The sequence below is a fragment of the Homo sapiens genome, chromosome 18 (genome assembly GCF_000001405.40).
Source record: "Homo sapiens chromosome 18, GRCh38.p14 Primary Assembly".
NCBI classification, from domain to species: Eukaryota; Metazoa; Chordata; class Mammalia; order Primates; family Hominidae; genus Homo; species Homo sapiens.
In genome coordinates, this window is record NC_000018.10 from 43,750,027 (window position 1) to 43,763,901 (window position 13,875).

At 35.2% G+C, this 13,875-nt stretch overlaps 1 annotated feature.

The window, feature by feature from the left end:
- Positions 9,924-10,509: an enhancer, noted in NCBI's record as "OCT4-NANOG hESC enhancer chr18:41339915-41340500 (GRCh37/hg19 assembly coordinates)". NCBI's record gives its function as "activates a minimal SCP1, AML or CMV promoter by ChIP-STARR-seq in primed H9 embryonic stem cells {active_cell/tissue: H9 hESC(primed)}" and the evidence as "EXISTENCE:reporter gene assay evidence [ECO:0000049][PMID:30033119]".

Here is a 13,875-nt window from a genome sequence, read left to right on the forward strand (position 1 = left end):
ACCTTATTGAGCATCCCAGGCATTTATAAGTAGCACATTAAAGGCTGTGAGTGAAGAGTAAGGACCATGCTCCAGAATAAAGGTTAGAAAACTTTTACTTTCCTTGTCCATGTGTTCTCATTGTTCAATTCCCACCTATGAGTGAGAACATGTGGTGTTTGGTTTTTTGTCCTTGCGATAGTTTGCTGAGAATGATGGTTTCCAGTTTCATCCATGTCCCTACAAAGGACATGAACTCATCATTTTTTATGGCTGCATGGTATTCCATGGTGTATATGTGCCACATTTTCTTAATCCAGTCTATTGTTGTTGGACATTTGGGTTGGTTCCAAGTCTTTGCTATTGTGAATAGTGCTGCAATAAACATACATGTGCATGTGTCTTTATAGCAGCATGATTTATAATCCTTTGGGTATATACCCAGTAAGGGGATGGCTGGATCAAATGTATTTCTAGTTCTAGATCCCTGAGGAATCGCCACACTGACTTCCACAATGGTTGAACTAGTTTACAGTCCCACCAACAGTGTAAAAGTGTTCCCATTTCTCCACATCCTCTCCAGCACCTGTTGTTTCCTGACTTTTTAATGATCGCCATTCTAACTGGTGTGAGATGGTATCTCACTGTGGTTTTGATTTGCATTTCTCTGATGGCCAGTGATCGTGGGGTGGGGGAGGGGGAAAGGATAGCATTATGAGATATACCTAATGCTAAATGACAAGTTAATGGGTGCAGCACACTAACATGACACATGTATACATATGTAACAAACCTGCACGTTGTGCACATGTACCCTAAAACTTATAATAATAATAAAATTAAAAAAAAGAATTCTGACAGATTAAAAAATAAACAAATAAATAAATAAAAAATAAAAAATACACACACACAAAAGAAAACTTTTACTGTAGAAGGCTAAATAGTAAATATTTTAAGCTTTGTGAGACATACAATTTCTGTCACAACTGCTCAAATCTACCATCATAATGTGAAAGCGGCCATAGACTAGACATAAATGAATAAGCATGACTGTGTTCCAATAATATCTTTTCATGAAAACAAGCAACAGGCCAGATTTGGGCTATGGGTCATAATTTGCTTAACCCTGACTTAAAGTCAAAGGCATGATTTAGGACAAGGTTCTAGACTAAAATGGGCCTGTTTTAATAAGGAATAAAAGTATACCTAACAGGGACAAGATAATTTTCCAATAATTTAGCTTACAATTGAACAAAACTCAAAACCATTTTTAAAAAAATGGTGACATAATCTCATGAATCATCATCAATGTCAAACATGCCATCAGAAATTTTTAAAATACACAAAGAAGCAGAAAATGTGACTCATAGTCTCAGGAGAAATCAGTCAAGGAAAAAAAGTGAAATGACCCAGATATTTGTATTAAGTAAGGACTTAAAAGTAGTTATTGTAAATATGTTTAAGAATTTGAAGTATGGATTATGACTGCACAGACAGGAAATAGTAGAAGATAAAGACAGACTATATAAAAAGAACTGAAATGAAATTGTAGAGCTGAAAATGACCAGATCTGAAATAAAAACTTTACTCAATTGACTTAACATTTTATTAGATACTGCACAAGAAAATCAAGTCAATAGGAATTATCTATTCTGAAGGAAAAAATAGAGAAAACTGTTTAAATTATATAGAGACTTGTAAACCATAGGACAATAGTAACTGGAGTTGCAGAGAGAGGAGAAACTTAATAGAGCTGAAAAACATATTTGGCAATATATGAGTTCAAATTTTCCAAAATGTTGAAAATAAACAATATGTACAGTTCCAAGTGGCTCAGTAAACCTCAAGCAGGATAAATGCAAAAAAAGAACCATGCTTAGGCACATAATTAAACTGACAAAAGCTAAAGATGTCTTAAAAAAAATTCCGAATTAAAAAAATACCTTATTGAAACAGCAATATGTATAACTTACTATTTATAACTAACTCTGAAAATCAAGAAAAAATGAGATTACATGAAGAAAGAGACATAAATTCCGTCAACCCAGAATACTATAACCAGCAAAAATGTCCTTCAAAAATGAGTGTCAAGTAAAAATATTTTCAGTAAACAAAAACTGAGGTAATTAATTGCTCATAGAATTGCATTATAATAAATGCTAAAGGAAATTGTTTAAGCTGAGAGAGACATACACATATATGCACATATTTAATATATATGAAGAAGAAAGAGAAAGTAAGGCAAATGGAGCAAAATATAGACAATTAGTGAAAATGGATAAAGGACATATTGGAATTTCTTGGTGGTTTTAAATAAATTAAAATCACACAAAAATAAACTGCTCCAAAATAATGTTTTATTCACCAAGATGACCTTGGTGAATATCTTTTCTATGCACATGATTTGTATAGATGTACATGTGTATGTGTGTTGTATGTTTATAAATGAAACAAAATGGTATATTTTTCTTTTAATCTTAGTAATGTCGCTAACTAGACAAGTGACTCTATGTTTAACCTTTATGAAAATAACTTTCTGTAACTGGAGAATGAACATAGTTATATTAATTTTACATTCCTCAAAAAATGAGTATATATGTGAAATTCTTCAATCTTTAGAAATACAAAATCTTATGAGATTCCCATTGTAACTGGTGTGAGTAATGAGCCCTTTTTCTTATTACTATAAACATTCAGTCAAGATAAGTTTAACTTTACGGCCACTGAGGCCATTTAAAATTATGGAATTCTATAATTTGATCATTTAGAAATACTTTATGTCAATGAACACCAGCAAATGTGTACTATGCTTACTACCTGAGTGGTGATATAATCTGTGCACCAAACCCCCAGGACATGGAATTTACCTGTATAACAAACCTGCACAAGAACCCTCAAACCTAAAATTAAATTTGAAAAAAAAAACTGCTAATATAGTTAGGTACCAATGTGATCTAAACCTAGAATCATGCAATAAAGTTATTAAAATTGTAGATCTTGAATGGCAATCCTAGAAATTCTTAGTAAACCTGAGCTTTCTCAGGCATAGTTCATATCATGTATTTTGTTTTCTGCCTATTGCCATACTTTTTGTTTCTGTAAACTGGACACTTGACTATTACAATGCACCAACTTTAGAAATCAGATTCTATCTCCTTCCCAGGGATTTGTCAAGATTTGTTGTTCATTCTATTATACTTATTGTTGGCTTCTTTGGTACTATCGTGAACTTAGTCCATAAAGTCTGTATTATTTCTTATAAATGTCTCCTGCAGTTTCTGTTATGTTTTCTTCATGATCAGCTAATGGTCATTTTTTCTTTAAGTGACTAGAACCAAAAAATCTCCTAGTCTCTGCTGAGGGATTCTGTGTCTATTTGGGGCACATTTTCCACATTTATCAAGGCAGTTAACAACTTTGCCTTAGCCTTCACTTCCTGCTTTCATTAAGCTTCAGGGTCAGCAGGAGATGAGATCTTAGTAAAGTCTTCTTATATCTTTCCTGAACACACATACAGCCCTGAACATGTAGGTGGGATTTTAGATTCCAGGAATATCTTGGGGTTTTTCAAAACCCTTAACAACATTTCGTTCCTGAGCCTTTCTTCTCAAGCTTTTTGGTTAGCTTTTTATCTGTTCCAATTGCTATCTAGTACCTCAGGCAGTGGCAACCTAAGATATTAGTTTATAAATATTTTCGCCATACCACCAGGGAAGCAGCTTTAGTACTAAACTAGCTTAAAGTTTGTTCAAATAAGCACAAGCCTTTTAAACTGTTCTTTCAGCAAGCAACTGGGAACAGGTCAAATCAAATAACTAATTACAGTTTTTTACAAGTAATTCCTCTTTTATACATTTTGGTACTGGAATATAGCCTGTTTTCTCCTCCTCCTCCTTCTGCTCCTCCTCCAGGCTCTCACTCTGTTGCCCAGGTGGGAGTGTGGTGGTTTGATCATGGCTCACAGTAGCCTCTATCTCCCAGGCTCAAGCAATCCTCCCACTTTAGCCTCCCACATAGCCAAAGCTACAAGTGTGTGTCACCACACCCAGCCAATTTTCTAATTTTTGGAAGAGACAAGGTCTCTCTCTGTTGCCTTGGCTGGTCTCAAACTCCTTGGTTCAAGCAATCCTCCCACCTCAGCCTTGCAAAGTGCTGGAAGTACAGGCATAAGCTACCATGCCCATCCTCAGCCTGTTATTTTCATGGGTACCAAGCTTGGGAGTAAACAATGGCTAGGGGCAATTTAAAATGCCACAGAGTTTGCTATTATTACCAAGAATCAGCTATTTTTTTCCTTCAATAAATGGTCCCTAGTTTTTCTTGAATAAGAGTTCCCAACAAAGCTTTCACAAGCCTTTGGGTAATACCTAGAATTTCAACAACAACAAAGAAAATTGATTCCAACAGTTTTTATCTGCTTTTTAATATTTTTTTAATGGAAGGGAAGAATTTGAAGTTCTTTACTTTACTTTTTTGGTTGACATTGCTTCATTTTTTTTTTGTTTTTGCTAAATTACAAAAAAAGTAAATTATTATTTCTATATTTTATTTGTATAAATAAATTGTACCTATATGTATGTATACATACATAATTATATGTGTGTGTGGATTTTTTAAAAACTGCACTTTATATTTCATGATAAATTGTACTGTGCTTCACTCATTATTTAAACCTATTTTGATCATGTACCCTTTCGCCCATTAGTATAGTATTTGAACATTTTTGCCTACCTTTTGGAAAAGATAAGATAAAAATATTGGTGGTTAGCAATCGCATATTTGGACTCCATGCTTATGATTTGACCTCATAGTCCCTTGAGCACTATTGACATTTTTGCTTATGAGTATGTTGAAAATAAGTCCTGATTTGCCTGATTCCATTCTGATTTACACCTATATCTGGTTGTGGCTGTCAAAAAGCACATTAAAAAAAGGAAAAGAGAGAGAGTCCTGGTTTAGACTCTACATTATATGATGACCCTACTTACAACATTTCCAAAAAAAAAAAAAAAAGAGTATGTCAGTGAATTTCAATGATACTCAATTTAAAAAACCCTTCCAGTATTTCCACTAAAAATCAAAAGCTCTGAGAAATGGTTATGTGAAGTACAGAAGCCTGGTTTAAATGTTGAGTCTACCTACAACAGAACTTAGCAAGTAATTTCTCTTAACAGTGTTTCAATTTTCTTTTTGTAGCACGAGGTTTGTAAACTAGTAATTCCTTAGGCTGACTTAGATATAACAAGCTTTTTAATCTCTTATGTGTGTTTATCAAATATTGAAAGGTTTTGATAGAGTAAATTTAAATATATTTTGAATCAAGACCAATATTGTTAACTATATGTGAGATATTTTTTAGTAAGTTCTATGATGTTATAAAGGAGTCCCTTGGAGCCAGCACCCCTGTGAGGTTCACTCTTTAATAAAATTTTAAATAAAAAGCAAGACTATTCTCTAAATAGATAGAATACTTTAGCAATTTATTATCCCAAGAGACTATGAGATAACATATATAGGTGTCTACATTAAGAAATAATTTAATGGCATTAAAAATTATATTTATAAAATATTTAAAGTTATAAATACTCATGATAATTGTATATAAAAAGAACTCTACAATATATGCAACATAATCCAAAGTTTTCATATATTTTAAAAGAAAGGAAGAAAATGAGACCATGTATTAATATTATGAGCTGAATTGTGTCCCTCTAAATTCACATGTTAAACTCCTAACCCCTAGTATTTTAAAATATGACTGTATTTGGAGTTAGAAACTTTAAGAAAGTAGATAAGACAAAGTGAACTCATGTAAAAAATTGTTCTTAAAATACAGAGGGGATTAAATACTAGCTCTGCCACTTACTAGGTTTGTGAACTTTCTCAGTTGCAGATTCCTAATCTGTGAAATAAGGATTAAAAACTCTATCTTACTACATTATTGCATATAACTTGTTTATTTATGTCACTGATACTCTATAAGTATCAATAAATGATGGTGGTAGCATTAATATCTGTAAAAGTAGTACCAGTGTGGATAATGGCATGGCTAAAAAAGATGTTTTTTAAAAATGTAATTATGTGTTTTCCAAATTTCCTACAGTGGTCAAACTGTACTAATTTGGAAAAAATTAATGAATTCAATTTAAAAATATTTTTAGAATATATAGATAAAGTCCTTATAGTTAATCATCTGTAAAAAGTGCTGTCTTATTCCACTTAGGCTGCTATAACAAAATATCATAAACTGGATGGCTTATAAACAATCCAATATATTCCTCACAGTCAGTTCTGGAGGCTGAGGAGTCCAAGATCAGGGGGCAAGTAGATTTAACGTCTGGCATTGATATAGTTTGTATATTTGTCCCCACCCAAATCTCATGTTGAAATGTAATCCCCAATGTCGGAAGTGTGGCCTGGTGGGAGGTGTAGAGATCATGGGAGTGGATTTCTCGTGAATGGCTTGGGCCATACCCTTGGTGATAAGTGAGCTCTCCCTCTGAGTCTACATGAGATCTGTCAATTTAAAAGTATATGGCACCTTCCACAGCCCCTCTTTGCTCCTGCTTTTGGCATGTGAAGTGCCTGTTCCCACTTCACCTTCTGACATGAGTCAAAGTTCCTTAAGGGTCCCCAGGAGCTGGGCAGATGCCAGTGCCATGCTTGCTGCATAGCCTGAAAAAACATGAGCCAATTAAACCTCTTCTTTAAAAAATAAATTACACAGTCTCAGGTATTTCTTTATAGCAATGCAAGAATGGCCTAATACTCTCCTGGTTCTTAGATGCTTGTCTCCTACTGGTGTCCTCAAATGGCAGAGAGAGAAAGCAAGCTCTCCTGGGATTGCTGTAAGGACAAAAATTCCATTCATGAGGGCTCAATTCTCATGACCTCATCTAATCCTTATTACCTCCCAAAGACCCCACCTTCTAACACTGTTACAGTAGAGGGTATAGTTTCAGCATATGAATTATTGGAAGTACAAAAGTATTCAGTTTATAACAAGTGTTAACATTTTTAAACACATCTGCCAATGACCTCTAGATGCAGGCCTGCACTCAAACAAAGTTGGGTTTATTTAGCTTCCAGCAGCAAAGAAGAATATACATAAGAGGAAACAAACAGCATCTTGGTAAAAGAGAGTTATGAATAGGTTATTATGGAACTCGAATATGTACAAGATGATTCTAAGGAGGTTGTACAGAAAGCAGTGGCCATTTCGGAATTGCAGGCTGTCAGGAAGCAGGGGTAATGTTGTGATAGGGTATCTTTGTAACTTTTAGCTAGAGGTGAGAGGATTAATGTGAAATTAGAGCTGTTACTGGTGAACAAATAGTGATCATTCATGTTGGCTGGAAGAGGAGATACATATTTTTGTGGGTCCATGGTGTCTTTTCCAGCTAGTTTCATCATAGAGTCTCTGGGTCACTGTTATGTTCCTCCAAGGTCACACAGTGGGTTTGTCTGTGAAAGTTTCGTTTTGTGTTTTTGGTTCATGTTCAGTTGCTAACAGCCCAGCCTGGCTTCTTTGGCTCTCAGCTTCTAGCTGCTAACTGCCAGACTTTCTCTTCTTCTTCTTCTTCCTCTTTTTTTTTTAATTTTCTTAACTTTCTTGCAGTTTAAAGACTGCTGATGTGGATGTCCCAGGAGAAATTATGGCATCACATTCTAAATTTCTTAGTTATTGTTTGTAGCCATTTGTCAGTACTAAATAGACCACCCTGCTGGACAAATTGCAAACTGGTGCTCAAACTTAGTTTATAAGTAAATAAGATTGACTCAATATAATATTAATATTACAAGGTTTTTTTTTTTTTGCAAAAATAAGGTTGTCTCACTGCAATTCCATTAATTTTTCGATGAAGAATTAACTCCCAGTCATTTGGAGCCTAAAACACACCCCCTCCCAAAGTAGGAGTTTATAGGTAAAGTGTCTATTAAGTGTTATGTATTGAACAACATAGGGAGAAAGATTCGGTATGTTGGCAGGCCTGAATTCTAACTGGTGAATTACTTTAAATGTGATACATTGAAATGATTTGCTTGCTGGGAGAGGTTCTGTGAGCTTGGTGGATTCTCTACTGCTTCCTGCTTACCCCGAAGGCTGCATAAGCTGCGGGGAACATGGAGGAGAAGGTGAAGAGAATCTTATAACCTTGTCTAATTGCTTCTGCATGAAGCACTTGGCTGTCCTGCTGAGATTTCCTGGTGCCTGTGTGTTGGGGTGCAGGTGGGAAATGAGAGGCAGAAGGACATTTGGAGAGAGATTGCTTTAAGCTACTTCCTTATAGCAAGGAACAAAAATGTTCTCATTTCCTTCTATCCTGATGGTGAACTGGAATCCAGCAAAGCTTCAAAAATTAGAGGACTCTCACAGGGCCTCACTGAAAGAAGGCAGGTAATCAACAGAGGCAATTTTTAAAAGTAATAATCAGAGGGGCGCGATGTAGAACTTGCAATTACATGCTGGAGAAAGTTGAACTGTGAAGGGCCTGAATTCACAGGGGGCAAGAATCCAGCTAAGGACCCTGCTAATGAATTCAAAAAGGCTGTTCTTGCTTCGAAAATGTCAAAGAATAAGAATCAGTTAAATCGTAGAAGGGGGAACACAAAAAACCTTAGTGACCGATCATGGTAAAAGAATGTATGAGTCATTTAGATATTGATTTAGGGGAGTTTTTTATTAGATGAAGAAAAAAAATAAATGCTTACTTCTAGGGTTAATAAATTTGAGTTAAAAATTCCTGTGAAGGTTTAGTAAATCAAAAAAGTGCTGAACTCTAAGGTAAAACACACACACACACACACAAATATATATACATATTAAAAAAACCTTTGATAGATTGAACAAGAAAGACCTCAGTGAAGGGCAGCCAATCTACAAAGAATGATTAAGTGGAGGATAAGAGTACCAGGTCTAAGTTAGTTATTTGTGGAGAGCAACACAGAACTAAGACAATGACATTTTGTGTCTTTTGGAAAGCACTGGCTGCTTAAAATACCAACTGCCTAGAGTATGCTTCCTCAGGTAGGATAATCAGTAGGAAACTCTAGCATTCTTAAGAATTGCATGGTAATTTCCAAAAACCTTTTCCATTATTATAAATAATTTACTTAGAGTAAATTAACCTTTTTGATCGTAGACATTGCTATTGTTTCCATACAGGTCCAAGATAGGGAGATTAAGCAACATGAAAATGCAAGGCAATTCTTCCTGAAAACCTTAAGTTTTATTTTCCAGAGTTCCCTGCTATTCCTTTCTGCTCTACTTATCTCATCTCTGGGGAATCCTCCCCAGATACCTCAGGTATGCAGCTACCTGTGAGAAATAGTCCCTCTCCACTATTAAAATGTGCTTTGGGGAAATACTGTGCTAAAGACATTCACATTGAGATGTAGCTGATCAAAATTTGTGTAAACAGTATTTTACTAGGTGGAAAAGCTTTGTAAGGCTGAGGAGTAAAACTTTAATGGAGGGATTCAGATGGAAACCATTAGGTAGAACTTGTCTATGGCACCTATATATGAAATTTCACTAACATCTCCATGTCCTCTTTTCCTCCATGTCATGCTTGCTCTGCTCCCATTTCTGTTTCTAAGAGATTCATTTTAGATTTGACTGGGCTAAGTGAATTCAATGACCACAGCCCCTCAAGGCCTCTTCCCAGATTTAAAGACTTTTCTTTGCTGAAAATAGGGTCCCATGAACTAAAGAGTGACTGAATGCAAAGCATGTCTAGGCACAATTAGGGAAGAGAAAATTGGGGAATTAAGCAAAGTGGTAATAGGACTCAGTAAGACATTACTGAGTACTGACATAGTTAAATGAAACAGGAGGAAAAGAGTTGAAAAGCAAGACTGCTGGGAAGTGATATGGCTGCTGGTTTTGACAAAGAAGGCTCAATCCAACAACACATCTCTTATTTTATTGTTTTGGAATCTTCATTCTCAGCCCAGAGAGTGGCTTGGCAAAGTGAAACATACCTAATTGGACTTGCAGGGTGAGTGTGGCACAAAAAAAAAAGGATGGGTAATAAGGTCAGTTTGTGTTCAGGCATTCTAAAAGTCAGATGAAAGTCAAGGGCCAAGTTGAGAACATGTTCTAAACCCAAGAGGGAACTGAGGCTCTGAACCAGTTAACATCATGATCATTTAAATGACAAGGGTCTTTTCTTCTTTCCCTTTTAGATTAGAGATGACTTCCTCTTGAGCCAAATAGTTTTTTTTTTCCTGTAGTGTTGCTCTTGTTGGTCCTGTGATCTTTGAGTGGGGCTGTAGTTGAAGATGCTAATGACTGCCACTTGTGTTTAGTGGAAAACAAGAAAGAGACAAAAGACCCTGAACACCACTGGCAGTAATTAACAATGCAAACAGCACAGTCAATAAAATTCAATAAATATTTTTGAATATCTACTTAAAACCTGCCACCATGCTAGAGATATAAAGATGGGTAAGTATAAAATCAGAAAAAAACACCACATGGATAATTCACTGTGTTTCAATCTAATACATGTTTTTAGAGGAGCTTTAAATAAAACATTATAGGAGAACAAAATAATAGGTTGCTTCAGAGGAATGGGAATGAATAAAAGAGAGTTTTAGGAAAGGTATCAAAAAATTATGACATCTAGTATAAGCCTCATCATACTCTCATTTCCTTAGAAGAGTTTCATTATTGCTTACGTTTCTCACTTTCTTCCTTCTCTTATTCAAAGAAGGTATAAGCTGACATCTTACATTAAAATGAGGGTGAGCATTATAAAAAATAATAGACTATGGAATCTTTTAACTGGTATAAAGTTCTTCATTTTTTATCAAACAGAAGTCATAATAAATTTAATATTTGCCTTTTTATTTTTTAATCTAAAGAAGGAATTTATACCAAGAGTACTTCAGTGCAAAGACTTCAATTCTGCAAAGGCAGTGCCTTTGGGTAAAGCAACTGTGCTTTTGAGAGGATCTGAATAATTATCACTAGCCTGGACTTCAGAGACTGTGTTTTCTGAAAACAAAAACAAATAAAAATAAATAAAAAGGAAACATAGCAGAGTGCCTCCAAACTGCTGCTCAGCACATTTAGCCTGCTTACCTAGTAAAGCATTTCTTGGAACAAGCCCCCTATTGGTTTCATTTTAGAGAAGTACTTCTATTCACACTGGCATACCTTTGGTGATTGTTGGTTTAAGGGAAATTCAACAGAACAAGCAGGAAAAACTGCTCACAGTTCTGATTCCATATTTCTAAAGATAAGGGTGAATATTGAAGTTACAACATCTTTAGAAAGTCTATGATGTTCCTATAAAAATTGACATCTCTATCTTTCTTAAAATATTTCATTTAAGAAAATGCTTATTGATGTATTAAAATTGTTATAAAAATGTTATTTATATTCAAATTTTATAATAAAAGCATGCAATTTATAGAAAATAGTATTTTTTCCTCAGTTGTGCCAGTTTTTTAATTTAGTTTTCAAATTAATTCTATTATTGCCTAAAGGACTAGATACTTTTTTGTTTTTATGCAGTTTCTCTATAGTTCTTCTTTAATATTCTCCTTTCTTGTTCCTGCTTCATTCCCCTTCCTTTTAGATACTCCATATTATTCTGATTACCTCCTACTTACCCACTGGGAAAAGAGGGATATCTCACCCTAAATAGTGTGAGATAGCTAAATATGTGACACCCAAAACTGGACAGATAAGATTTGCAGCCGTTTATTAGTCACAGATCCTCACAGACTTGGGGAGGGGAACACTACACTCCATACAGGGTCACATTGGCAGGGTTATTTATTTAGAAATACAGTGAACCAGCAGGGGCTATGGTAGGCAGGCTTTGTAGTAACCAGAGGAATGGGGCAGCTAGTCCACCTGATAGTTGAGTGGATAACTTTTCCCAATGTTTGGGAATGATCTGGCAAGAGCAGGGAAACTCATGACTAGATGTCTATAGCTCCATGAAACCCAAAGCTGTCAAGGTAACACATGGAATGTTTAGGTCTGGTAATAAACATATCTATCTAAATGTGTTCTTCAGCAGCCCATGGTCCCAAAGCACTGTACTTTCTAAAAGGAAGCCTTCCAAAGAATGCCTTATGCTCTGTTAAATAAAACTTACTGGAAGCCTTTGTTTTGGACTGACTTTATGCACTTAATCCCAACAGACCAGACCAAGTCAGAATGGTGTCACTTGTGCTAGGTGTCATGTAATTAAACTGAACTTTAAGATGGACTAATTTTCTAAGAAACAGAAAATTTACAGAAGCCGATAGAAAGAAGCCCAGTGTACTCAAGCTGGCATGATAAGGAAGTTCCCTCTGTTGTAACTTTAAAAGGAAAGAAAGTTTGAAATACCAATTCGGTTTTTGTTCGTTGTTTCTGCTTTGCTCAGCCTTTTCTGTCTATAGGACTCAGCTCTTCTGCTCAGCTCATGAGAGTACCTGTTCTATTTCATAGATGTGGTGCTGCCCAGTTCATGAATCACTAATAAAAGTCAATTAATCTTAAACTAAATTTGTTGAAATTTTGGTGTTTGACAGGTCTGATATAAAAATTTCACCACTTATAAAACTAAATTCATTTTCACTTTTGGGAGAAAATGTATCAAATTAATTCTCATGGAGGTAGTCCTTGACTACTCTAACTGCACTATCCACAAGAAAACCACTCATGGTGCTTTAAAAATACACATATCCTGGCCGGGTGCGGTGGCTCACACCTGTAATCTCAGCATTTTGGGAGGCCAAGGTGAGTGGATCACGAGATCAGGAGTTTGAGACCAGCCTGGCCAATATGGTGAAACCCCATCTCTACTAAAAATACAAAAATTAGCTGGGCATGGTGGCACAGGCTTGTAATCCCAGCTACTCGGGAGGCTGAGGGAGGAGAATTGCTTGAACCAGAACCTGGGAGGTGGAGGCTGTTGTGAGCCGCGATCGCACCACTGCATTCCAGCCTGGGCTACAGAGCAAGACTCCGTTTCCAAAAAAAAAAAAAAAAAAAAAAAAAAGAAGAAGGAAAAATACATATATCCTGGCATTACAATTCCAGAAATTCTACCTAGTAGTCTTGAATTACTGCCTACAGACCTGTGTCCAAAAAACAAACAAACAAATAAAACAAAAACCACAAAACTTCCTGCACCTCTTTGTTAAGTTACTGATAGACATAGCAGGCAAATAATCAGTAATGATATACCACCATTAATTAATTGGATCTAACTGAAATTTGCAGACTACTTTATCCAACAACAGCAAAATACACATTTTTCTGAAGCTCACATGTAAGATTCATCAGTATAGACTATATTCTGGGGGAGGAAATCCTTACACCTAAACACATTTAAAGGAATATAAGTTACACAAGCTGTGTTCTCAGACTGCAATGGAATTGAACTAGAAATCAATAACATAAAGAAAGGTGGAAAGTTCAAAATATTTAGGGATTAAACAACATATTTCCAAATAACACAAAAATAAAATGGCTCGAAATTAATTTAAATGTATTTTGAAGTAAACAAAAATGAAAGTACAGCTTATCAATTTGTGGAATGGTGTAAAAGCAGTGCTTAGAGAGAAATTTATGGCATAGAATTAGAATAGAAGAAAGCTGTAAAATCAATAATCTGTTTCTGCCCTAGGAAACTATAGAAATAGAAGTAATTTAATCCTAAAGGAAGCAGAAAATCAGCAATAATAAAAAATAGAAAAGAAATCAATGAAAATAGAACAAGATATCCATAGAGAAAATAATGAAACAAAAGCTTTTTATTTTGAAAAATGATCATAATATCAATAAAATAAAAGATCAACGAAATTGATAAATGAAAGTGGTGTCATGGCTATTGATCTCACAGGCATTAAAAGTATAATTAAAGAATACTGAGAACAGCTGAGCCT